This window comes from Homo sapiens, chromosome 1, assembly GCF_000001405.40.
Source record: "Homo sapiens chromosome 1, GRCh38.p14 Primary Assembly".
NCBI lineage: Eukaryota > Metazoa > Chordata > Mammalia > Primates > Hominidae > Homo > Homo sapiens.
Window position 1 is genome coordinate 66,522,158 of NC_000001.11, and position 26,070 is coordinate 66,548,227.

Below are 26,070 nucleotides of genomic sequence, written 5' to 3' on the forward strand. Positions count from 1 at the left end.
GTGGGAGGAATATAATATTGGGTCAGACTGAATTTAATATGGATGCATTAACTAGAGATTATGAATTCAGTGTACTATCTCAAGTAGCTAGGAATGATTCTAACAGTTCTTGATTGGTTGACTGAAATCTGGGCTCAATAGTGGCTTATAGTTAATGAAGCTAAGATATCAAAACTCTTTTGCTATACTATAGAGCAAGGCTTTCAGTTTTGGCACTATTGGCATTTAGAGTTAGATAATTCTTTGTGGGGATTAAAATTGGTCATTGGGACTGTGGATTGTAGATGTTTAGCCATATTCCTAGCTATTGGAGGCCAGTTGCACCTCTCCCAAGTTATGATAATAAAAAATGTCCCTAGACATTGTCAAATGTCCTCTTGGAGAGCAAAGTGTACCCCATTTGAGAACTACTATTGTAGAAAAGAACATCCAAAGGTTTATGGAGATGTGAATGCTGGAGTAGATTTATTATGAATGAGCTTCTTACCCACCTGCTAGTTATGTCACCTGGGAGGGTCCAGAGTACACACACTTCATCAAGGCTTTGAGAAATAAATTGGCAAAGGCAGCATCAACATCCATAAAAAGGCTCCATAGTGGCAGTTCTCTGCAAAGAAATAAGTGATGCTGCCATGGAAATGAGCCCCTTGAATTAAATAGGTGATGGGATCCCAGAGCAACAAGGTACAAGAAGTGATCAGAATGATTTGGCCTATAGAAATCTTTGGTGAGAACTAATTTATCATGGGGTTCCTAGGACCATAATGAACTACCTACTAAAGTCTTATTTGTGTTGTATAAGCAAAATAAACACATAAAACCCAAAAATTGGTCTGGAGACAGAGGTCCAACATGAATCACTACAATTGATAGTCATGCTTCCTCAACAAATTCTCAGACTTGAGTCGTATTATAGATCTAGATCCCTTTTTAAAAGATATAGTAGACAGAATAATGGCCTCCAAAGGTATCTACATCTTCATTTCCAGAACAAATGAATATGTCATGGCAAAGGGGAAACTAAGGTTACAGATGGAAATAAGGTATTCTAATTAGCTGAACTCAAAATAATATTACCCTGAATTATCTGGGGTGGGGGGTCCAATGTAATCACAAGGGTCCTTAAAGAAGGAAGAGTGAGACAAAAGAGTCAGAACCAAAGAGATGTCATCATGTTTAGTCCAGTGAGACCCATTTCGGACTCCTGACCTCTAAAACTTTGTGTCATTTTAAGCCACTACATTTGTGGTAATTTATTATGGCAGCCATAGAAAACTAATACACTAGGTCACTGTGAGTAAAGGCTCTGCTACACTTACAAAAATTTTATACTGCAAGTCTTCCTCCCAACATTTTCCAAGGGGACTGTGTCCATTTACCACAATAACTGTGTGCTGGGAAAATGAAACCAGCCAAACTTTCCAGGGTTTCATAGAAACTGAGTCTAAACTGATGCTCATTCCTGGAGATCCAAATACCACTGTGGTCCAGTAGTCAAAGTAGGGACTTCTGTCTCACTGTAGGCCCATTTGATCTCCAAGCCTATGTATATTTTCCTAGTTCTGGAATGCATAGTTAGAAAAGGCATACTCAGAATTCCTATGTTAGTTCTTTGATCTGGGAGTGGCAGATACTCTTGCCAGATAGACCTCTCCTTATTAAAATAGTAAACTAAAAGTAATGCTACATCAAAGACTTGGAATATGGAGGGTTATTGGTCCCTATCACTTTGCCCATTCACCCTATCTGGCCTGTGCAGCAATAAGATGAATCTTGAATTACCATAAACTTAATCAGGTGGTGACTTTAGTAGAAGCTATTGACCAGATGTGGCATTTTACTGGAGTAAATCAACACAGTCCCTGATATTTTATCTGCAGTGTTGATCTAGTGGATGTTTCTTCTCTATACGTGTTAATAAATACAAGTAGAAAAAAAGTTTCCCTTATATGGCAAGAGCAGCAGTACACTTTAACTATGTTGCCTTACTTCAACCTCTAATACAATCCAGTCCTCAGGAACCTTGATTGCCTAGCAATTCCAAAAGATATTATTCTAGCCCATTGCATTGATGATATCAGGCTGTTTAGGATTAGCGAGCAGATATCAGACTGTTTAGGACTGGTGAGCAGAAAGTAGCAAATATCTTAGTATACCTTAATAAAATCCATGACAGGTGTTGAGACCACAAAATTCAGGGCTTGTAGACTCAGTAACATTTCTAGGAGTTCTTTAGTCTGGAATATATTGAGATACTCCCTACAAAGTAAGGGACAAGTGGTTTTAACCACTAGAAAAAGCCATAACACTTAGGATGCCCATTTGGATCTTGAGGCTATCTATAATTTACTTAGCCATGCTGCTTTGATTCATTTACTGAGTAACCTTTTCACACTGCTAGTTTTGAGTGGGATACAGAGCAAGAGAAGGCTCTGCAACAGGTACAGTTCAAATCGCTCCACCACTTGAGCCATATAACTCTACAGATCCAATGGTGGTGAAGTTCCTGTGACAGATCCGAATGTTGTATGAAGTCTTGGCAGCCTCCTAAAGATAAATAACACTGCCAACCTTTTGAATTTTGTAGTAAAGCTATGTTGTCTTCTGTGTTAAATATTTTCTTTTGAGAAACAGCTTTCGGCTTGCCCACCAACTTACCATGTGACCTCAGCCTCAGCCATCCAGATTAATATTCCCCAAGTTCTTTCCATATTTGTGTAAGCTCTGTTTTCTTTATTAAGCCCAATTATACCTGTTAATACTTGCATTTGCTCTATTTTCTTGAACAAACCCAGACTGATTCAGTTAGTGACCATCTAGTGTTGGTTTATATTCAGTACCCTTGGCCCCTGTGGTAGTTGTGCCCAGTAATGTAAAACTGCAAGTGGAAAATGGATACCGTGGAAATTGTTTGGTAAAACCAGAAAATGAGACAGAGCCCCTTTCAAGCAGGTCCTGTGAAGAAGCCAGCAGGAAAACCAAGAGCAGATTAGGCAGGTAGACCAGAATACAGCAGTGGAGGGTGTTCCATAATTCAGAGTTCATCCTCTGCACACTGATACCACACTGCAAACACAAATCATTCTAGGCTTCACCTGCTGTTTGGAATGAATGCAATCCCTAACATTCTTTCCAGGTTTGTCAGGGTAGGTTCACAACCAGAGAAACTGAAACTACAGATGAAAGATATCAATGATGTGGGTTCAAAGAAACTGAAAAAGGCATGGCCTGACAATGGGGCTACAAATATACCCAGGGTTATTATAGATCAGAACTATAGCGCAAAGCTTATCACCCATAATATTAAATTAACATACTGAATTATAATCAGCTAATGCCTTAATGAAATTAGCAATCACTACATTGCTTTGCTTCACAAACAGAATATATTTCTCATCTCAAATCCATTTCTCAAGTCCACTCTATGCAATAGAATTTATATTCCTGTCACTATTTATCAAGCAACCCTGAAATTGAAATTATTTATTCAGCAAGACCTTTCTCTTATTCCATTTTATGGGTCTAATAACTTGGTTTAATTGTCAACTATAAAAGAGATAAGATTAGAGAACTTAGTAATTTGTCCTTTTTATGTTAGAAATATTTCACCATGGCCTAGATCCAAGGAGATGAGTAACTAGGGGCACAACAATTTCTTAAAGAAGGAAAAAAAGCAATTGTATAAGCATCTCCGATATTTTGGGTATAAACCCTAAGCCTTTCCAAATCTTTAAAGCCTTAGGTGAACAGGTTGCATGATTAATATTATAGCTTAGACACATATTGATCCATTTAAATCCTCAGGCTTCAACAAATTTTGTCATACTATTCATACTGTTAGTAGATTTTGAAATGAGTTGGACTGGATACTGTTCTTGTTCTGGACAATAATCACAAAACCTAAAAGAAGCAATTGGAGTTTATTTCTACTGGACTGTGCATATACAAGTGTGTTTATCAGCTGAGATTGAGCATTAAAGCACTGCACATGCACGTGTGATAGGCCTGATTACAGCAGAAGCCTCCAAGGCTCCTCCTACCTTTCTCTGCTTCTGTAGTGCCCTCACCTTGAATAGGATCTGTTGACAAGGCCCCTTCTGGACAGTTGCTGACAGGCACAAGGAGCTTATGGGTTTTGAATGGAAAGGATTTGCTAAATAAAGCTTCAATCCAAACTTCACCCCTCCCTTCCAGAGGTCAAGGCACTGAAGTTCTTGGTAGCTATGGCAATTACAAGGTGAACCAATGAATTATTGACATCTTAGGGTTTGCTACTTGACACTTATCCCCAGTTAAATGCGGTTAGAAAATTAAGTTCATGCAATTATATTTTCCAAATGAAAATACAGAGCGAGACAGCTTTTTTTAAAAAAAATAAAAATAAAAGTAGCCATATAATTGAAGATGGTACTGCCTCTGCAGTTCATTGTCAAAGATTGATTATCTCCTAATCTAAACATCAACACATTATCCTTTTGAAATTAAGTATACCAAGAGTCAAGACTCTTTTACTTCTAGGAGTTAATTCTATATAACCTAAGTTCCTCAGCTAATATGACATGTTATGTATTCAAATGTCTTTTATTTCCTTTTGATTTTTTTCCCTCGGTTCTAGCATATGATTTATTTAGTTTGTAATGGTCACTAAAAAGAAGGTAGTGGATACCAGTGAAAAACACTATTTTAGGATGACAATGGCCTTCTTTGGGCTTGACTCTTAAAAGAAATTATGTTATTTTATGATATTCTGATTATTCTCTAACTTCATCCACATCTTTGAACTAAGCTGAACCACTGACCTCTTATTTTGGCTAGTGACCTTGAAAAAGAAAAGAACTTCAGGTCTCACAGAGCTCTTTCAAAGTAAATGATCTTAAATGACTTCACTTCCGTTGTCTCTCACTCTCTAATCCACTTTTGGTACTGTCTGACTTGCACCTCCTTGGCTTTATCTCCTATTTCTAGCATTTCATTTGTTTCTTGCATATGCTTACAAGTCTCAATATTAATGATTTTTGACGTTTAGTACTTCCTGGAATGGACTGAATCATTTAGGACTCCTTTTCAAGTGACAGATAGCCAAGTTGAATTTGCTTGAGCAAAATGGAGAAGTTACTGGTTACTACTATGGACACAATGTCTGTGTCCTGTCAAAAATTCATGCTGAAACTTAATCTCCAATGTAGTAGTACTAAGAGATTGGGACTTTAGGAAGTGATTAGGCCATGAGGGCTCCTCCCTCGTGAATGAGATTAAGGCCTTTATAAAAGAGGCTCCACACAACATTCAGCCCTTTTTCCCTTGCACCGCTTTTGCCATCTGAGATATAGCATTGCCTCTGGAGGATGCAACAACAAGGCACCATCTTGGAAGCAGAGACTAGGCCCTCATCAGACACGCAACCTGCCAGAGCCTTGATCTTGGACTTCCCAGCCACCAGAACTGTGAGAAATAAATTTCTGTTGTTTATAATCTACCCAGTTTATAGCATTTTGTTATAGTAACCAAGCAGACTAAGACATGTATAATATACATACATATGTAAATGTTTATGTACATAATATAGAGATTAACATAATGAAGGTTTAGTTCTCACACATTCAAAGTCTGATGAGGACCAGGCAGCTCTCTGAAATTTGGAAGGGGAAGAAAGGTATGGAGAATATGCAGGATGTTTGTAAAGGCCAGGCCTGAAAAATTCCATTGGCCTTAATTTCGTCATATGACTCCATCCAGCTGCAAGGAAGGCTGACAAATACAGTCTTCCTGTGTATCCAGATGGAGAAAGTGGTGTGATAAGCATGTACCACTGTCTCTGACACAATTTTATTTATTTTTCTTCCTAATATTTTGGCTAGCATCCATAAAATAGTATTAAATATTAAATAACGGTGATGATAAAGAACAATTGTCTTATTTTTTATTTTTATTCTTGATAATGAAAATGTTTTCATTATGTTTCCATTTAAAAAATGGCCTATTTGGGGTCAAGATATGTATTTTCACCATCCTGGGGAAGTTTTATATCTCTTTCTTTGTTAAGATTTATTTATTTCATGAGTGATTTAAGTTGAAATTTATCAAATCTCTTTTTGGCAACTATGAAGACAATTATATGCTTCTTTTTAAAAGCTTAATATTGTAAATTATATTAGTAGACTGTTAATGTTGAATTATTTTTTCTTACTTTTAGAGTAAAGTCTAATATAATATACAATGTTCTTGAAAAGCTCTATTATGTTGGCTGTCATTTATTTCAATTTTTGTATCAATATTCATAAGTAAGATTGAGCTATATTCTATTTTTAATTATTTTTGTCATGTTTTATAATTCATAAGTTGAAGCTTTATGGAGCTTTTTCTCTTTTTCCAGTTTCTTGAGCTGTCAAAATTGCATCGGAGTGATTTGATTCTCCAAAGAGAGAAAGAATTCCACTATGCTTGGGACAGTTGCTGTTGTTGTAGGTTTATGCTTCAAGCACATAGCCACTGGGCTATCAATGTTCAATCTTGGCAGTACCCATTATATCACTGCTTATAGCTATAACATTTTTAAATGTTTAATGAGAATGTTTTTATTACTTCCATGCACTCTTTCTGGCTCTCAGTATGCTCTTTTATCACAGCAATCTGCTCTTATTTATTGCTGCTGTATCTCTGAAATTATATCAAAACTAAAAAACAGATTTTTTGAAAAATGCCTCTCAAGTTCTCCACATTTCCTCTGCCTCGGTGGGGACATTTCCTATGCTTCAGTGAGCTGTAGTTATTTTCCTTCTCTTTTGAAACTGTTGAATTTTCTCATAGATTCAGTGTTACTGCTTATCTTTATCAATGTAGGTCTAGATTAAGCAGTACTCCCAGCTGATATAAATTCCTTCAGCACTCATGTAGCTATGAACACATGGCTCTTGGGATGCTCATAGTCCAATGGGTGAAAAGCATACAAGGGCATGTCTTGTCTTTGGCATAAGTGGGCCAGCACATAGAGTCTTCCCCCCAGGGAAACAGGAGCATGACTACAGGTTCTGCTGGTTTCTCTCTGGATACAATCATATTATGGGTTCTGTTTGCCATAGAAACTTGTGTGTATATATATATAGTATACACACACACACACACACACATATATATACACATATATATACACACATATATACACACATATATATACACATATATATATACACATATATATATACACATATATATACACACATATATATACACATATATATATATACACACACACACATACATAGGCACAGTAGTCAGCATATGACAGTCCAATGTAAGTTTTGGTTTAAAAAAAATCTATCATGAGAACTCATCAACATGGCCCCCAGTGACTGGTTTGAAAAGTGAACAATGATCCAAGCCAGGTCAACCACAGTCCTTCCCTGGAAGTTTTTTGAAGGAGATCTAGCCTAGTAAATCTGTGAAGAGGTGAGCTTAGAGGATGCTAATGGTCAGGCCTGATCATGTGGAGAAAAATTAGTAAGAGAAAAGGAGATGACATGCTGGAAGAGACAGAGAGAGTTCTGAGTACTTGGTTCAGGTAACAAAATTTCCTGGATTGTCCTGGTTCTTGCTTTCCCTCAGCTGTTCAGTTCTTGCTATAATTCTATGAGCTACCTCAATAAATTCCATTTTTGCCCATGTTAGTTGAAGTTGGAGTTCTTTTATTTCAGCCAGGAATAGAGTAACTATGGGAACCCACACACACACAAATATATGTATCTCTTTTTCATCTATATCATCTCATGGAATTCCAATTTTTCAGTCTTGCCAATTTCCAGGACTTGGGCAACATATTTTTCCATCTACATTCACTGAATTACCTCAGTGGGGATAGCAAAAGGGGCAGAGTCAATTGTCATGTTAAGAGCACTACCTTGGAGATACACAAACACATACACAAATCTGGATCCATATTTTAATGCTAATTTTCTTTCCTCCTTTCTTTGTGACTCAATTCTCATTGTCTTCTTTCTCTTTCTAAAATATAAACAAATTTCCCCTTCAACCTAAAATTGGGAGATAGTGAAGAAGCTCAGCTTTTATAGTAGGAATATAATAAGATTTCATTCTGAAACACTATGTAATCAGCCATTACTACCATACAAATGTTATTTTAGAAAAAATGTTGAATGTCTAGTGACTTCAGCAATTTAGTTTTTGGTCTTGGACCAGTCATAAGTACCATATCAGAGCCTGGTATGATCTGGGTTGACATTCACATCCTGAGCTGAACTCCTGAGCAATTCTTGCACTTTGATGCAAGTCAGTTATTTACCCAATCTTTTCCATATACCATTTGACTTTCATTTCAGAATTGCAAAAAGTATTCCATGGTTTTGGAGGCTAGATATTCTCCTTTGCCCTTGCTGGCAAGCAAAAATTATACGATGAAGTGATAAAATTTGAACCACAACCTAAAGTATTGTCTTTGTTCTTGATCAAAACAATTTTTTTTTCAAAAACCTATGAGAGGCCAGGCATGGTGACCCACACCTGTAATCCCAGCACTTTGGGAGGCCGAGGCTAGTGGATCACTTGAGGTCGGGAGACCGAGACCAGCCTGGCCAACATGGTGAAACCCCTTTCTACTAAAAAAAAAAAAAAAAAATCAGGTGGACATGGTGGGGCATGACTGTAATCCCAGCTACTCAGTTGGCTGAGGCAGGAGAATAGCTTGAACCCAGGAGGTGGAGGCTGTAATGAGCCAAGATCTCACCACTGCACTACAGCCTGGGCAACAGAGTGAGACTGTCTCAAAAAAAAAAAAAAAAAAAAAAAAAAAGAAGAAGAAGAAAATAAAAAGAAAAAAACCTATGAGAAAACACCACAATTAGGATAATCTCTTTTGATTACATATTTGAGCAAATTTTATTGAAACAGAACTTCATTCATTGGATGTTCTATTGGATATGCTATTGGTAATAGCATCTTCTTTTTAAAGGATAAAATACACACAACTGATGAAGTTGCGGTGAAGTTTAGCCTTTGGGATTAGCTTTACCACCTTGAAATACACATCCCTTTCTGACAATATCTACAAACTTCTGCTTTTCCTATAAATAGTCATTGACCAAAAGAATCTTTCCATTGACTTGCTGTCTCTAGATAGTTGCTGCAAGTCTAAAAAAACTTGAAGTGTACCCATACCAAACCTATCTGAGAGGATTGCTCTAACACACTGTAAAACTTACATTGGGAGGAAGAAGGCAGGCAGCCTGGGTTTCTCCACCTTTCCCTTACATCCTAACAATGGCCCCCACTCCTGCACCTCAGTGCTTGCACTCACCTCCAGATTTTACATGATACTTTTTTCTTACTTACAACTCCCTATATTCTTTAGAACTACCACTTCAAGCCCATTCCAATTAAGTTCTGAACTCTGAAATTTCACCTCTGTAAAAAAAAAAAAAAAGTCTTTCCTAATTAACCTCATTAGATTTTGATTTCCTACTTAGCAGCCTTTCAGAAATCTCCAACATGTTACATCTTTGGATGCATCACCTGGTCTTTCACTAACTTGTTCTCTGTGCATTTGGTACAACTCCCAGTTGGCTGCAAACTTCTTTGATGCATCTGCCAGCCCTTTGGTAGTAATAATACTAATACTAAAAAGCTAACATGCAGGTCTTATTATGCTCCAGACAAAATGCTAAGTAATTTACTAGCAGAGTATTTGAATACTGTCTGGCACATAGTAAGCCATTAATACAGGTTTGTTATTATTACCATTTATAGCTCAATTAACTTGGCATTATTATTCTCTCCATTTCAGGATAAGAAAACTGTGAGGCACAGAGAATTACATAAATTGCTCAGAGTCACAGAGCTCATTATGTGGCACAAACAAAACTTGGTGCCCATCTATTTGACACGAATACCCATCAATGTTCTTAATCATTACAAAACATTTGCTAAACACACACACACATGCACACACACACACACAAATCAATCCTTTTTGCAATAATACCCCTCCAGTTTTCAGAGCAGTGTAAGTTGTACTCAAGGCAGGTTTTACTTAGGAATTCATTCCCCTTTTAAAATTTAACTGTCTTAGAGACATAAGAAAAAAGTCACAAGTATTTGTATCTCCCTGAAGAATTTCATTTTAAAATTTAGAGGCCACTGAAGTATGTGTCCTTAGGGAGAACAATGGGTTTTTCAAAACTTCTAAATTGCTAAGGAGCTGTGTTTTGCTTTTCAACTATTAATATGCTACTTCAGTCAGTCACCAGTACGTCATATTTGCTTTGGTAGAAAGAGCTAGGCCATGTCCAGGGCTGAGCAATAGAAAAAGTTCATGAGTATATTGCTAATAGAAATGATTAATAATACATTACAGGCTCAACCCTGATCATACCATGCATCTTCTTCCAGTTATTTTGAGTACATTTTCATTGGATGCTCACAATTGCTCTCTATTGTAACAGCTTTTCTCCTGGTCATACTGTGAGATTATACAGGGAGAAATGCCCACTTCTGATGTTGTTTTTCCTGAGTTCTAAAGAAGGCGTTCCCTTTCCTCCCATCTCCTTTCCTTTTTCTCTGCCTTCTCTCTCTCATAGGCTGCCCTGCCCTTTTCTTCCTTCGCTGTCTGAGCTTTCTTGAAGGGAACCAAGGGTCGTAGATCCCCCAGGGCTGGGCCCTTCTGAAAGGCTCCATGGTCTCTGGAGAGCAGTCAGGTGACAGACTGAACCCAACCGGGCCCAGTGACACAACTTCCCACTTAGGCAACTACACAGCCCCCAGATCCCATTCCTGGCAGCTTCAAAACCCTGGGCTCCGCCACAACCAGGCACAACTGCCTCCCTCCAGGTTTCCACTTGGGTGAATGAATAGGCTTGAAGGCGACTCCAGATGCAGGAGGCGCGTCGCGGAGAAACGTGTCATTTAGGAGAAAGTTTGTTTCCTACAGAGACTGCAGTTGGCAGCTGCAGCCCCAGTCGGTTGCGAGAAAAGCTCCCCACCTGGGGAAGCGAGGCCGCTCCCGTGTGCGCTCGGCGGGGAGGACGCGGTGGCGGCGGGACTCGAACTCGGTCGTCGAAGGGCGCCCCGCAGGGTCCCGTCTGTAGCCCGGACGGCGAGCCCAGGTTGGAGTGGGAGGGAGCCGGCGTGCACAGCTGTCTTTGGTCGGGCTCAGGCTTCCGCTCCCTGCCTGCTCCCCTTTCCAGCCTCCCGCCCCAGAAACGATCTCGAGCGTTGCCAGTTTGATTCCAGAGCCCCACTCGGGTGGGTTCTTTTGTTTCTTTGTTTTAATGACAGTTCCCAGCCCTTCAGCATGTCATGCGCAATTAATTCCCTGGCTCTCACGAAGGCAGCTGGGGTGAAATTTCTTCTGCATCATCCTTTTGGGGATGTTTATGATGTGACGTCAGTCGGATTGATTTTTCTCTCTTGAATGAAGGATGGGAGGGGAGAAAGAGAGACGGAGAGAGAGAGAGACGCACAGATGTGCACGGAGGCCACAGACACTGACATTTGGAATTCCTTCAGGGTAAAAGGACACCGGAATGGGAGCTTAGAAGTGTGTTGCTAAGATTTCCGGCTGCACGGAATTATTAAGTTTTTCTTAAAAAAACAAAAAAAGAAAGAAAGAAAGAAAAAGAAAAGAACCCCCTCCGCAGCGAGCCACTTAGGTGCTGCTTTCACGCCAGAGTCCCCTGTTAAGGTGGCAGCCCTTGATAACTAATCTCGGGCACCCAGCCGCTTCTGTAAGCTTAAGGAGACGACGAGGAGGGGCGGGGGAAGTGCGTCACCAGGTGGGGAAGGGGCTGTGTATTTGGTGACAAGCGGGAGGCGATGGGGGTGGAGGGGAATGGGGACGGGAAATAGGTTCTGTGTGCTCTCCGGGGGTATTGTGTCAGGAGATGCAGGCTGGCTACCATGTGACGCGGTCCAAAGCTGAAGGGATTGGCCGAGGCAGCGCAGGCGGTGCAGCTCGGCCAGCTTGCCGTTCCTCTCCCTTTCTCTCAGCATCTTCTTGGTAGCCTGCCTGTAGGTGAAGAAGCACCAGCAGCATCCATGGCCTGTCTTTTGGCTTAACACTTATCTCCTTTGGCTTTGACAGCGGACGGAATAGACCTCAGCAGCGGCGTGGTGAGGACTTAGCTGGGACCTGGAATCGTATCCTCCTGTGTTTTTTCAGACTCCTTGGAAATTAAGGAATGCAATTCTGCCACCATGATGGAAGGTAGGATGCTTTCTGCTATGGTTGACTGGCTTCAGGCAAGGTTTGGGCAGAACAGCATTAAAGAATATGTGCAGCCAGTGTATGTGGCGGTTCTAGAACCTGGTTGCCAATGTTTTGCAAGCAGAAATGCTGCAGTTTGCTTGCAGTGGATCTGGGCTCAGACTAATGGAATCAAACCACAGGGCTGCTGCCTAGCTCAGAACCTACAGAGCTCCCAGCTCCTTTGAGAGAGAAAAGCCTAAAGTGTTTGCAGGGAGCTGAGATGGAGCTAGGAAAGAGCTTGCAGAGCAAATAAGTTGGGCGAGAAGATAAGGTTTTCTGTTCTGGGTTCCTGGGACTACACTGATTAAACATTTACAATGGAAACTTGTTTTCTGAAATTGACATTAGACAGGAGAGGTCATTAACAGAGTTATCCATACAGACATTTTCAGTGAACTGTTTAAAATTGTAAAAATTCTCATAAGGTATTTTTATCTCTGCAGTTTACATCATATTATTGGGATGGGGAGGGCAGCAAATTTGGTCCATAAACTGTAGTTGTATGAGAATGTCATTGCAACAGAATGAAAAATATAAGGAAAATATCCGGGCCTCTTGCCTCCTGATTCGGGGTCTTATCAGGTTAAAAAAGAATTTTGTGCTCCCTAAATGCTTTCCCTGTCCAATGGATTTTAGCCAAGTATCAAATGATTATTTGCTGATGATCTTTTCGCATATTCAATATTGAGTGTAAGGAGGAACTTTCCCTGGAGAGATGCTATTTAAACTATATTTTATTCTGCTAAATTACCCTTCCCAGTCTGACACTGTGACAGCCAAGATTGTCTCCAAAAAGCAGCAAGCTGATCAGGAAAGAAGCAAGCAGCTCTATGCAGGCTTTGATTTTCTGTTTTCACACTATAGGATGGTGCAAAACTCCTGGCCTTTCCTAAGATGACAGGCAGAAATTTGTCCCCAGCCTGGATTTCACAATGCAGAATTGAGTGCATAATGGGTCTCAAATCAGCCATGAAAATGGCAGAGAGGCCACCTCTTAAGCCAAGGTTTGTCCTACGGATTTTAACTATTCCTTAGAAATTTACCAAAATGGAATAAGAGGAGGAAGGTTTCATAAAAACAGCAGTGTAGCCTGTACTTATTTGGCAGAAATGAATTCTTTTTGCTCTCCCTGTCATCATGTCAAACATTGTTAATGTGATTTGGGGGAGTGAAGAATTCTAGAGTCAAAACCCACAGATTTTAGAAGATAGCCTTAAAAGAGAGGTTGGGTATGATTTTGTTATGGAGCTGAGTCTTGTTTGCAAAAGGCTCTCAAGCTAGCCCTTTAAATCCAGGCCTAAATAAATTGAGATTGCTAACACTCTCAGATTAAATCATTTTCATTAATTCAAAATTGATTTAATCTTTGAATAACAAGGCAAGACAGAGTGTTATTTATGCACTTTTCAATTAAAAGCTCATGTGGATTATCTTCTTCAGAAAAAATATCTTGCCTGTAGAGGTACTGTATTTCTCCAGCTCAACTTCATATAGCTTTCTTAAAAATGCATCTGCACACATTCTGATTAGATTTCAGTGTTGCATAGAGAATTGGATGCTCTTTCTTTTCACTTCTTGCCTTGCAAACCATGGCACTAAAGTATCTTCTTTGAAGGTTGTAACGTTTTTTGATGCTCATGAATGATTCTCCTGGTAATATGGTCTATTGTGCCATCCAAGAATGTCAGTTCAAAGCTCTGTGATAAGCTTATCCAGGCTGCCTAAACCAAAATGAGAACTGCAACAAAGACTTGTGCTGGAGCTGAATTAGCACTATTGCTCTGGGTTTGCCAAATTTATCTAATGAACAATGTTATCTTAGCACTGGTATGAATTAGTATGAATTATACTATGGATACAGTTGTCTTTCACCAGATCTTTTGCAAGAGAAATTGGACAGGTGTTCCCACTGGCTTAAATAGCTAAATGAAATTAACATTTATTTCTACCCATAGCTCCTACTTAAATGTTTTTAAGCCTTATTATCTTAATAGTTCGGTGACCTTAGAAAGGCAAATAGGAGTTTAACCAAAAATCAATTTGCTATCAGTTGCCTTCCAACTTAGTTGACAGTCTTTTTGGCAATATACATTCATGTTTCTGGTATTGCATGGCAGAATTTCACCTCTGAATTGCTCTTATTCTGAAGGTGTGGTATATAATTATTATTTCAACTTAACTCATCTCTAGAGATTGCCAGCCTCTGTACATCTACCACAATAACCTTGGAAAGATAAGGAACCTCATAAAAGGCACCCCAAATTTGTCATGGCAGCTCTTCGTTGAAACATTAGTGGACTCTGAGAATGTGCTACCAAACATCTAGTTAAAATCATATTTCTTCTGAACTAGTGTGTCTCACACACACACAGAGTCATCCACCCAAACACATTTCTGGAAAGGAAGAAAACATATATTTGCACTCGTGTGGCTGTACATTTCTATATTGCTAAAGTGTTTTAGTCTGCTGCTCAGAAAAAGCATGGCCATGGCAACTTTTCAAAGGCACTTCTCTACTTTGTGTAAAGCAAGAGTAAACAAATATTCAGCAGAATGGGTCATAGTAAACTACGTTTTGTTTGTGTGGAACAGGATATAGGCTCCATTCATTCAATGCCTATTGGAAATCCATCCAATCATAGATGATAAATGTTACTACCTCCTCAGTGATCCTAATTTTGTGGAAGTCAACGAAATAATTCCCCAGGGACCACAAGCAGGTGATTAGTGGTTTGTGGCTCCATGGTTCTTTTAACATATTTTAATTAAAAAACATATTTTAGGGGACTTGATTTGCTGCTTCCTGCATACTTTATCTTTTGGCAGTGGTTGGCATTGAGTTGTTTCTTTTCTAAAGAAAGCCACATGATCTGGAGCCTTCTGTAGTATAAATATGAAAGGAAAGATGATGAGCAAAGGGAATTATTAACTATGGAGTGTACATATTGGCTAAGCTTACAATGAAGTCTATGTGGTTAGGGCAACTATTCAAGGACTATTTTTTGATATATTATTATTAAAGTTTGAAAATGGCATTCTTTAGCTATCCTTTCTAAGATAACTGGAACTAAGTCAGAGTTTCTTGGGCTATCTGTCTATTTGTGAGGGTGTCTAGAAAGTACTTTCCTTGTTCACGTAGGCCCAACTGAAGGCGTTTTGCGTTTTTAGTTCCATATTCAGGCTCTTAGGTGCTATACTAGAAAGATAAGTTTCTGGGTGCCAATGGTTTCATTTTATATGACAATTTAAAAAATTAACAAGCAAATATTTTTAAGGGCTTACTGGGTTTAATTACAATATTCAGGATAATTTAATATATTTTATTATATTTACTACTCATAATAACCTGAAACTAAGTATATTGTATATACGGTGCTTTTTTCAGTCCTTTTCTACCTTTCAAAAGTAAAAATAATGCATTGAGGCAAAAAAATGGTGGAGTGAAATTTGAACCTACATCCATTTAACCACAAAGCTCATGTTTTTGACCCTCTAGGAACCTCTTAGTTTTGCTTTGCATCAGGTTGGGCATGTTAACCTAATTGAAAAATAGGCTGTAGTGCCTTTGGTTGCATATTCTGTGTCTCTCTGTTTTAAATATGAATATTGACAGAACTATACTCTTTAACTTCTTATTAATGCCTTTTATGTCCAAAATCATTATTTAAAAAATTTTGCATAATTGAAGAGTAACTAAACTTCTGTTGTTGCAATAAACCTTATAAACACTAAGAACTTCTTCTTTTCCTATCTAGAAACAGAGTTTTACTAAAATAACATTTGGAAAATTCTTTGGTTTGGTCAGAAAAGAGCAAGACATCTTGAAGCTGGAGCTGTTCATTTTGTATTTAGTTAAGAAGTTTTAAAGGGAATGCTTCTAATTTTCCTACTGATTCTCTTCTTTAAATGATGAAATTACTTTAGAAAATCTAAACATGCAGATAGAAGATTCCAATATATGTTCCATCACCTGTGTAATTTCTCATCTTCTCCAGTGTTCTGTATCATAAAGAACCTCTTTAGATATATATGTTCCCATCCAAATGTCAGGGGTCATCTTTATACTTCTAAAAAGAATATGGAGTCTTTAAAAAATTAAATTAGATAAACCATACTAGAAGACTCTGGATCATTCTTTCTGTTGGATGTAGCACATACACTATCCATGTTTCAAATAAACAAGGTACAGGAAGTTACCAACTCACAATTTTTATGTTCCTGAAAGTTTGTTTGTGAGCTGGTTACTTGGAACATGTTTTCCCATAGGAATAATGATACAAATAATAGAGTCTCACACAAGTCCATCAAAGGCTATTAACCCAATATCTAGCTAACATGCAAATATTTGCCATAAAATGTGTAAAGAACAGTATGGTTCCCATAGTAATCAAATAGAAGAAAATTATGGCATTAAATGTGTTTTTAATTTTGGATGTTGCTGTTTGAAGGAAAGAAGCTTTAATTGGAGGACAATGAAGAGCTGGAGAAAAAATTAGAAGGTATTTTCAGAATACCATCAAATACTTTAGGTATTTTCAGAAGTTTTAGATACTCATGACACTGGATTTTTCAATTATGTTCAATTTTACCCTCATACTTGTGGCTTATCTTTTCTCAATTCAATTTTATCATACAAACTGCTTTTAAATTATGAGTAAAGTCATGATGTAAACTCACAGACTGAATTAAAAGTGGGAGAGAGAATTTGCTGAGATAATTCTAAAGGAGTTGGAAGAGAGAAAAATGATAAGGGATTATTATGAATTTGGGCTCATGTGTCTGAGTAAGTCCCATTTGGAGAAATTAACTGAATAAGAAAGAGGTCATAGGTAGAACAGAATTGAGGAGCATAGTAAAAGCAGGAAAAAGTACGGTGTGAGGCAGAGGTATTGGGTCTCACAGGTTTGTGTGCTAACTACCAAATGTAGGTGTGGGCACATAATGGCAAGCTTTCCATGGGAGAGAGACTGGGGAAGTGTATTTAGACTTGGGAAGCGATGGGCCTCTATTCTTGGAACTTGTATGTTGGTTAACTACATCTGCAGGATATTAGAAAGATCTGATATTAGAAAGATATTAGGCATCTAGAATTAAATACTTCACATGGCATGACTTCCTTGTTTAAGAAAACTTCTATATCTTCCCATTTCTCTTAAAATCCATAGGCTACAAGACCCTGCATGCTCTGGCCTGCTGTGCCTTTTCAGGCTCATCAAATACTTCACTCACACTGAAAGCCACACTGCCTGCCTCCTCATGTTTAGAATAAACACTTTCATGCCTCAGGGCTTTTTCTTTGCCTAAAACACTCCTTTTGCAGGTCATGGAGTTACCAATTCTCTTGTGGTCCCAGCAAAACTGTCACCTCCTCAGGCAGCCTTTGCTATCATCCTTGTCATCTCAAACATATATCCTGGGCTACTGAGTCCATCTCAGCCCGCTCTCTCTCCTCAGAGCTGTGTTTATGGCTTGTGGTTGCTTTCAGTGCATGGGCTGAATCTCTCACTCAAATGTAAGCTCCACGAAGGCAGAAATCTGGTCTACCATTTTCATCTCTGTATCCTTAGCTCTTGGCACACTATAAATACTTAACATGTTTATTAATTGAATAAGTGAACAAAACTAGATATAAATGGCTCAGATAACTGTATACTATTCATTATTAGGTATTATTTTGGGCATTATGATGGACGTAAGAAAAAAATGCTCAAATATGTATTCTCACTGGAGAAATAAAATCAATAAACATGAAACAATTAGGAAATAAGACAATATTCTGCAGTGATAAATTGTGAGAAATAGATAATATATATTGAGATGCAAAAAAAAAAGAAATAGTTCATTTGAAAATATGTACTTGAGCTTGAATTGTTTTGGTGATGAGCTCCTAGGAAATGATTTCATAATGAAAAGAGGCACATTGTAGCACCACCATTCAAAGAATTCCCAGAGTCAGTTTTGTCAGTATGCTGGATGCTTTTTTTCTTTTCTCTCTTCCTTTGCCTTCCTTGCATTTCTGCCTTTCCTTTCTCTACTTTTCTCATTCTTCCATCCCACCTTTCCCTTCCTGGGTTCTCATTCCTTTTCTCTGGTTTATGACCAAGCCTGAAAATGGTGGCTTATAAAGCCAGCAGGTTCGACTTGGAATGTGGGAAAGTATTTTTAAATAAATGAGTGAATGTAAACGAGTGTAATGTTGTTCGGTGTATTTGTGTGTACAGTGGCAATGTCATGGAATATGAGATTTTTCAGATGCAAATTACTCCTGATTGAAGAATTTGTTAATCTTAGGAGCTCAATGTGTTAGCTGATTTTATGCAGTTGGGCTTTTTGGTTGAAAGAACATGAACCCAGAAGTCAGACTTGAGTTTGAGTCTAAGTGTTGTGACTGCCTGGCTGTATGCCATGAGAAAGTTACTTTACATTCCTGGGCTCTGTTTCCTTGCAAACAAAATGAGATAATTGATGTGCCATACCTCTAGAACTTCCAGCTCTAACAGTCTCTGGCATTTTCTGAATGATTAGGATTCCTCACATCTACTCCCTCCAAGGTTTGAATTCTAATGACTGACTCCTTTTCCTCTCACCTCAGAATATATTCATCCCTGACACACAAATAATTCAAATGCATTACTATCTACCTTTTATTAGTTTAATTTTTCTCTATGTTGTTTATTCTGCATCCACAATTTACTTTTGCCTCTTTGCTGTACTGGAACACAAAAAGTGCATTTATGGCAACCCTCTTCTGCAACTCCTAGTCTGGAACTGTTTATTTATTCATCAAATATTCTGTATCGAATGCACACTAGGCATTATTCTAAGTGCTATAAGCTCAGTAGTGAACAAAACAGATTAAAATGTCTGCCCATGTGGGCATCCTTTTGCAGAAGTCAGTCAGCATGAGTTTATGTGATCCATGGATCAAGTGACAGGTGAGCATTCAGAAGTCTAGCATTCAGATACCCGTTCTGTGAATGTCTTGTGACAGTGCCCCTTGGGCTCATTCTTCTCACACATTTAATAAGTGAATGAGTGTCATGTCCTTGTCTTAGCTCACCATTCCAAGCCCAAAGTTACAGCTGAGAGCTCAGCAACAACTCTAGGCTTGAACATTTTCACAGAAAAGATGTAAATGCCATGAAAGTGTCATTCCAGGATCAAAATTACACATCTACTCACATGTTTTTTGGTGTATACCAAAAACTTTCATTTTTATTTTTGGTTCATATCCACTTCTGTTATGTGTCAGGACTAGTGGTTTAGGATTTTTGAAAGCTTGTGTGGAGTTACCTGTGTTTCTTCTCTTTAACAAACAATTTAAGGAGGAAAATACTGAGCTCATTTAGGGCATTGTCAAAGATTATGTGACATTTGCACATGCTTAAAAGTTTTAAAAATGCTTTATTCATCTAACAGATACACCTGGAGTGTTTCTGATATCTCAGTTGCTGTACTAGGCACAATGAAATGGCAGCAAAACACAAGGCAACAATGTCCCCCTTCTTCAGAAGCATGGAGTCTAGTATATGATACCACATTAGCATGTACATATTTTATTCGTGCAATGTCTCTGTGTGGTAGAAAGAATAAGTACGGTAATCCTCCCTTATCTGCAGAGGATATGTTCCAAGATCCCCAGCGGATGCCTGAAACTACAGATATTACCAAACCCTATATGCACTATGCTTTTTCCTATACATATATATGAGATAAAGATGATTTATATATATAATTATATATATACCTTCATAGATATCAATCAGTAGGTATCAGTTTTACCTATGATCATTTTACCTTTATCACAGGTAAAATTAAATTTACCTATGGTAAAGTTAATTTGTAAATAAGGCACAGTAGGAGATTGGCGACAATAACGAATAATAAAATTTAGAACAGTTATAACAATCTGCTGTAATAAAAGTTATGTGAATGCGGTGTCTGTCTCAAAATATTTTGTTATACAGTATGCACCTCTCTTCTGATGATGTGAGATGTTACAGTGCCTACATGATGAGATGAAGTGGAGTGAATGACGTATGCATTGTGACACAGCGTTAGGCTGCCATTGACCTTGAACACAGGCACTGCGATATGCAACAATATGATGACTGAGACGACTACTAAGTGACTAAGAGCAGGTAGTGTAGACAGCGTGGATACACTGGACAAAGGACTGATTCGTGTCCCAGACAGGATGGAGTAGGATGGCACGAGATTTCATTACACTACTCAAAATGGTGTGCAATTTAAAACTTATGAATTGGTTATTTCTATAATTTTTCATTTAATATTTTCAGATCACTGTTGACTGTGGGTAACTGAACCCACAGAAAATGAAACCTTGGATAAGGAGGGACTTTTGTGTTACTATCCTTATTTTAAACAGAAGGAAACTAGGGCCCACTAAGGTTAAGTGACACTCAAGGTGACCTCCTTACTAGTGGCAGAACCAGCACTTATCAGCCAGGCTTGACTCCTAGTTAAGTGCTGTTTATTTGTATAACGGCGTAACTGGAAAATCTTGCTCATATCCAAAGTGTTTGGCCTAGGTCTCTGACTGGCAAGTAAACAGCAGATTGTTTAAATCTGACTGGATGTTTCAAAAGCCTTCTTCAGAACTAAGCAAGTTAATTTTATTATCAGGTCATGATCTTTCAGAACAGTCATCAACTTGAAGAAGGCCACCTCACACAGAAGGATTTTATCCCAGTGGGCTCTTTTCAGTAGCTCAGTAGAAAATTTCCACAATTTTCTGAGGAAGAGCGTCATGATGTGATGTCACTAGTCCAGTGGACTCTAAACTTTCACAGCTTACCTTCTACCACACGTTTTATCAAAAAGCCTGGTTCCCACCACGAACAAAAGCCCTTTTTTTTCCCTGAGGAGGACAGCTCGGTGTTCACTGATATTTTATGAAAGCTGTGGCTGTTATCATGAAAACATGATAATGTGTGCCATCATTTGAAGATTAACCAAATGGGTTCAACCTCATTTTAGAGTTGCAGAAACCAAGGCCAAATGAAAAGACTTACCTAAGGATTTTTATTCTCTCTGTAAGAGGACAAGTCAAAGTTTATTTTAGTAATGATTCCAAAACTGTGAATAGACAAAGACTTGGAGCCCATGGTGTTTTTCACGTTCAAAGGTGCTGAGGCTGGCTGGGTGACTGCCAAGAGACACAAATGAATGTGTCCCCAGGGTCATTGTTCTACTGAGTACACATACAATGTGACCATTTATAGCTCTCTCCCCTGATTTTCTCAGTGAGTCAGTACAGTGTGGGGGGAAGGGCCAGGACTTGAAGAGGGACTATACCGCCTCTGTGACTGGGTGACCTTGAGTGAGTTCTGGAACGGTTGGCCTCAGCTTCCCCATTTGTAAGGGGAGAATAATGCTGGCTACCTACCTCGTAGAGTCATTATGAAGAGCAAATGAAATAATAAATATACATCTGAGAGAGTGTGGTGCAGATGCCAGTTTTTTTCTCAGACAGTTTTTTCTCAACCTATATACCCATGGTAAAGTTTAATTTATAAATTAGGCACAGTAAGAGATTGGCAATAATAACTAATAATAAAATAGAACAGTTTCCATTGTTCTATTGGGTGTTACTTGTGGATTTCTTAGCCTTTGGAGGCTAGACATTACTGCTTGCTCTTTTGCTTTTTCTGTAGATTATTGCTGTACCTCTCCTGAAGACAGGCCTTACAGATTTCTTTCTCCTCTTCACCATACTATTAAGTTACAAGCATACTCTATCATCCTTTATTCTCAATGTCCATGTGCTAGGCCACCCCTTTCTTGAACATGTATGGCATCACTAATCAATCACAGCCATCTTTCTCCCTAGCTTTAGTATCTATCTCAACATCATATTCCAGGAAATTCCTGTGAATTGATTGGAATTGGCACATGAGATGATATTACCTTGCATTCCTTACCACAAGCAGTTTCCCAAAGTTGAAATACAGGGAATAAAACCAGAATACAGGCCGGGAGAGGTGGCTCATACCTGTAATTCCAGCCCTTAGGGAGGCCGAGGTAGGTGGATCACTTGAAGCCAGGAGTTAATAGACCAGGCTGGCCAACATGGCGAGACCCTGCCTCTACTAAAATTACAAAAAAATTAGCTGGGCATGGTGGTGCGCACCTGTACTCCCAGCTAATCATGAGGCTGAGGCGGGAGAATCACTTGAACCTTGGAAGCGGAGGCTGCAGTGAGCTATGATCACATCACTGCACTCCAGCCTGGGCCACAGAGGGAGACTCTGTCTCAAAAACAAACATACATATAAAAAACCACTAGAATATAGGTGATCTACCTGTGCACCCACCTTTACAAATGCCCTTAGTGAATCACCAAAAATGACATGTCAAAAATTTCTCACAGCAGCAGTTCTGGTAACAATGGCCTGAAATGGTCTCTAAGCCCGATTGTAGGTAGAACCTTACTCCTGTGCTATTGACTGTAACCATTAAATTTCTCTTAGCCTTCTTGTGCACTAATTTGAAGAACTATGTCTACCAGGTAGCCAAGCTAGAGTCACTGCTTGGATTAATTCCTAATTCCTCCTTCCTTCCTGTCCTACATCAGTAGGTCCTTAAGAGCTGTAGATTGTCTTTCCTAAATAGCTCTTGACTCTGTTCTCTCTCTTTCATCCCCTGCTAACACATCTGATCAGACCTTGCTGCTTCCACCTTCCAATGAATCCTCCTCACAGCCACAAAAGACATCAATTTCCTCATCTGCCTTTGATTGTTTACCATGCTTCTAAGATGAAGTCCAAATGCCTTAGTGTGCTGTGCAAAGCTTTCACACACAGGCTGCCTTCAGCCTCATCTCTCACTGGCCCAGCCAGACAGAGCTCCTTGCCATTCTCTTGCCCTTGGACTTGCCATTCCATTCCTTCTCTATATGGAAACAGTCTGTTCTGACTTTTCAAGTGGACTAACGAAAGACTGTCTGCCTTCAGTGAAGCCTTCACATATGCAGCAGGTTGAGAATGAGAGCACTAGCTTTGGAGTCAGGCTGATCCAGCTTAAACCTGTGTGTGTGACTCTAGGGAGCTAGTGAACATGTTTCCTCCTCAGGAAAGTGGATGTGACGATAACAGTCTTTCTCATGGGTAATTTAAACATGTAAGTTTGAAAAAATTAAATCAGAAAGTGCACTTGTAGCACTTGGAGTTCTCCAGAGAGACAGAACTGAACAAATTGTGTGTGTGTGTGTGTGTGTGTGTGTGTGTGTGTGTGTGTATACATACAGAGAGAAAGAGAGAGAGGAATTTTTAAGTAAGGAATTGGCTCACATGATTGTGGGGACTGGCATGGCAGGTCCAAAATTTGTAGCACAGGCTGGCAGGCCAGTAACTCAGGCAGGCGTTGATGGTGAAGTCTTAAGATAAAATGTTAAGCTCCCAATAAATCTTAATTACTATTCTCTTTTAGGCATAGCACATTCTTATACCTGCTTTGTTCCTTGCTCAAAAACCAAGGACTATGCCACAGTAGAGACCATATTTTACTCACTTTAGGATTCCCAATGTGTGCATGTGTGTAAATGCTCAATAAATACCCAGTTTTAATAAATGAATCCTGTGTAAGGATCACAAACTTTTGGTGAAAGAGTCAAGCCACCCAGCATATGGTTATTATGAGAATTAAATGAGTTAAAATATGCAAAACATTTAGAAGAGTATTTGGTCCATAGTAGAAGCTTATTAAATGTCATGTGCACATCAGAGGTCCCAGTAAAGTTCCTGGATGCCAGGCAATACCCTGGATCATGCTTCCTCTGCTCTTCCCAAAGCACCCATCTGCCACGTAGGATCACACTGGCTGAGAGCCACATTCTGGTTCCAGGAGTGTGCAGTTAATATAGTATCTCACATATGTCTGCCTGACTCCTTTAATCATTTCCTCTGATTTTAAGAGGACAGGTTTCATTGCAGAAAACTTGCAAAATAAGAAGATACATAGAAGAAAATTAAATTCCCAAATAATCTCATTGTTAAGAAAGAACCAACCACTACTACAGTTTGTTGAGTGCAGAACATGAGCTTTGGAGACAGACAACCTGAAGTTCCTTAACCCTTGGTGATCTCATCAGCATCATAATTTATTTTACTATTCCTCTGTCGTCAAATATTTAGGCTTCATTTATATATTGAGCAAGAATTGCTTAGATTAAGGAGTCTTGTGGTACGGTATGACTTCTTGGCTCCTATTTAGTAAGTTACCCTGATGAGGTGGTGAGAATTCTGCGTTGGATTCTAGTCCTGGCATTGCCCCAGGCAGTTGAGTGACTTTAAATAAGGCTTTAACATTGGGGAAAGAAAGCAAGGTAGTGAAGAGAAATTGATTTTAATTAGAAAAATTCTAATATCTCCTGGCACCTTTCTTTATTAGTTATGAGGATAAGACCAAGAATTTGCTAGGTGGGTAAGAACAGATTTGGAGTGTCCTTTCTGCAAGTCCCGACTGTGTCTGTTCGGTGAAGTCATCACCTCTCTATTTTCCCATCTGTAGACTGGTAAATTATATGAGTGTTCCTGACTTTCTTACTGGGTTGAATATTGAAGTATTAAAATATATGTGAAAATATTTTGAAAGCTGTAAAATTTTTATGTAAATATAATGTAGTATTACAGCATTATTAGTTTCAGTATCTTGGAAATTCTGGTTTCAATTGAAGAGTTGGGTTAGATATTTTGAAGGCACCAACTCATTTTAAAACTCTATGATGAATCCCTGCTACAGGCAACCCCTTTCCACATATCCTCAAATTTCCATGTCTACAAATGATTTTTTTTTCATTTTTGGATACCAGAAGATAAGCACCTTTCCAAATTTAGTGATTTATTTCAATGGGGATGGATATATGGAATTTTGTTAAACTGAATAAAAATATTGTTAGCAACAATGGATACATAGTGGGACAATTTAAAATGCAGTTTAAAGTGTGTTCAACTGAAATCTATCTTGGCCTAGTTACAAACCCAAATATAGTTCTGTATACAATTTCAGCAAAGTCTAATCCTCTTTATCCAAATGCCAGATCAAACGATTTCATCTGGATTTCTTCTCTTGAGTTTCCTGCTATCTTCTGTCTTCATGGCAACCCAGTTCAAGTTGGCACAATGAAGAACAGAGCTCGTCGCACTCTTGATCAAATTTTAACTAAGACACATAGGAAGTGTTGTAGTGACAGTGCAAGGCGATGAGCTAGCCAGGGGTCTAGGTGTGAGACACAGGCGAGCAAGACACATAGAGATCTTGCTGTCATGGAGCCTGAGTTCAAGTATGAGGACACAAGATTAACAAACCAAATGAATGAACAAGATCATCTCAGATTACGGTAAAATCAGTGAAAGAGGCAAAATGGAATCGTGGTGGAGAATGGGAGGGGTGGCGGTGAAGGCTACTTTAAGTGGTAATGGAAGGTTTTTCTGAGAAGGGGCACTTGAACTGAGACCCCTATACCTTGTGACCCATGAAGCTCTGGAACAGCATTTCAGGAGTGAAAACAGTAGGGTGAAGTGCCTGGGCCTTGGTGAACTCAAGGACAAGAGGGAAGCCAGCATGGCCAGAGACCAGTGAGGAAGGGAACAGAGGCAGGAGAGAAGAACAGGAGATTCACATCAGGCAGGGCTTTATGAGCAATGGAGGTGGATCTGGAATGGATTCTGAAGCAATGGAAAGCCACCGGAGAGGGTGAAGGAGAAGGTCATGCTTTTGCTTGCATCTTTAGACAATTACTTGGGTTGTCGGATGGACTTTAGTAGCTACAGATGGCATTCTAGCTTTTTTTATTT

At 38.9% G+C, this 26,070-nt stretch overlaps 1 protein-coding gene across 55 annotated transcripts in view; it reads left to right on the plus strand.

Moving 5' to 3' along the window:
* The first annotated feature begins 11,203 nt into the window (after positions 1 to 11,203).
* SGIP1 (SH3GL interacting endocytic adaptor 1) overlaps positions 11,204 to 26,070 on the plus strand; it is a 217,779-nt gene continuing 202,912 nt past the window's right edge. For 29 of the 55 annotated variants that reach the window (XR_007064415.1, XM_006710961.3, NM_001350217.2 and 26 more), the window contains exon 1: positions 11,996 to 12,211. Coding sequence is in view for 54 of the 55 variants with exons in the window: in XM_006710961.3 (XP_006711024.1) it covers positions 12,202 to 12,211 (10 nt within the window). In the remaining variant the exon portion in view is untranslated. Of the gene's footprint in view, positions 11,251 to 11,435; positions 11,781 to 11,995; positions 12,212 to 26,070 lie in introns of those variants that run through there. The other 26 variants (XM_017002506.2, NM_001376534.1, NM_001376539.1 and 23 more) reach the window with 4 other exon arrangements.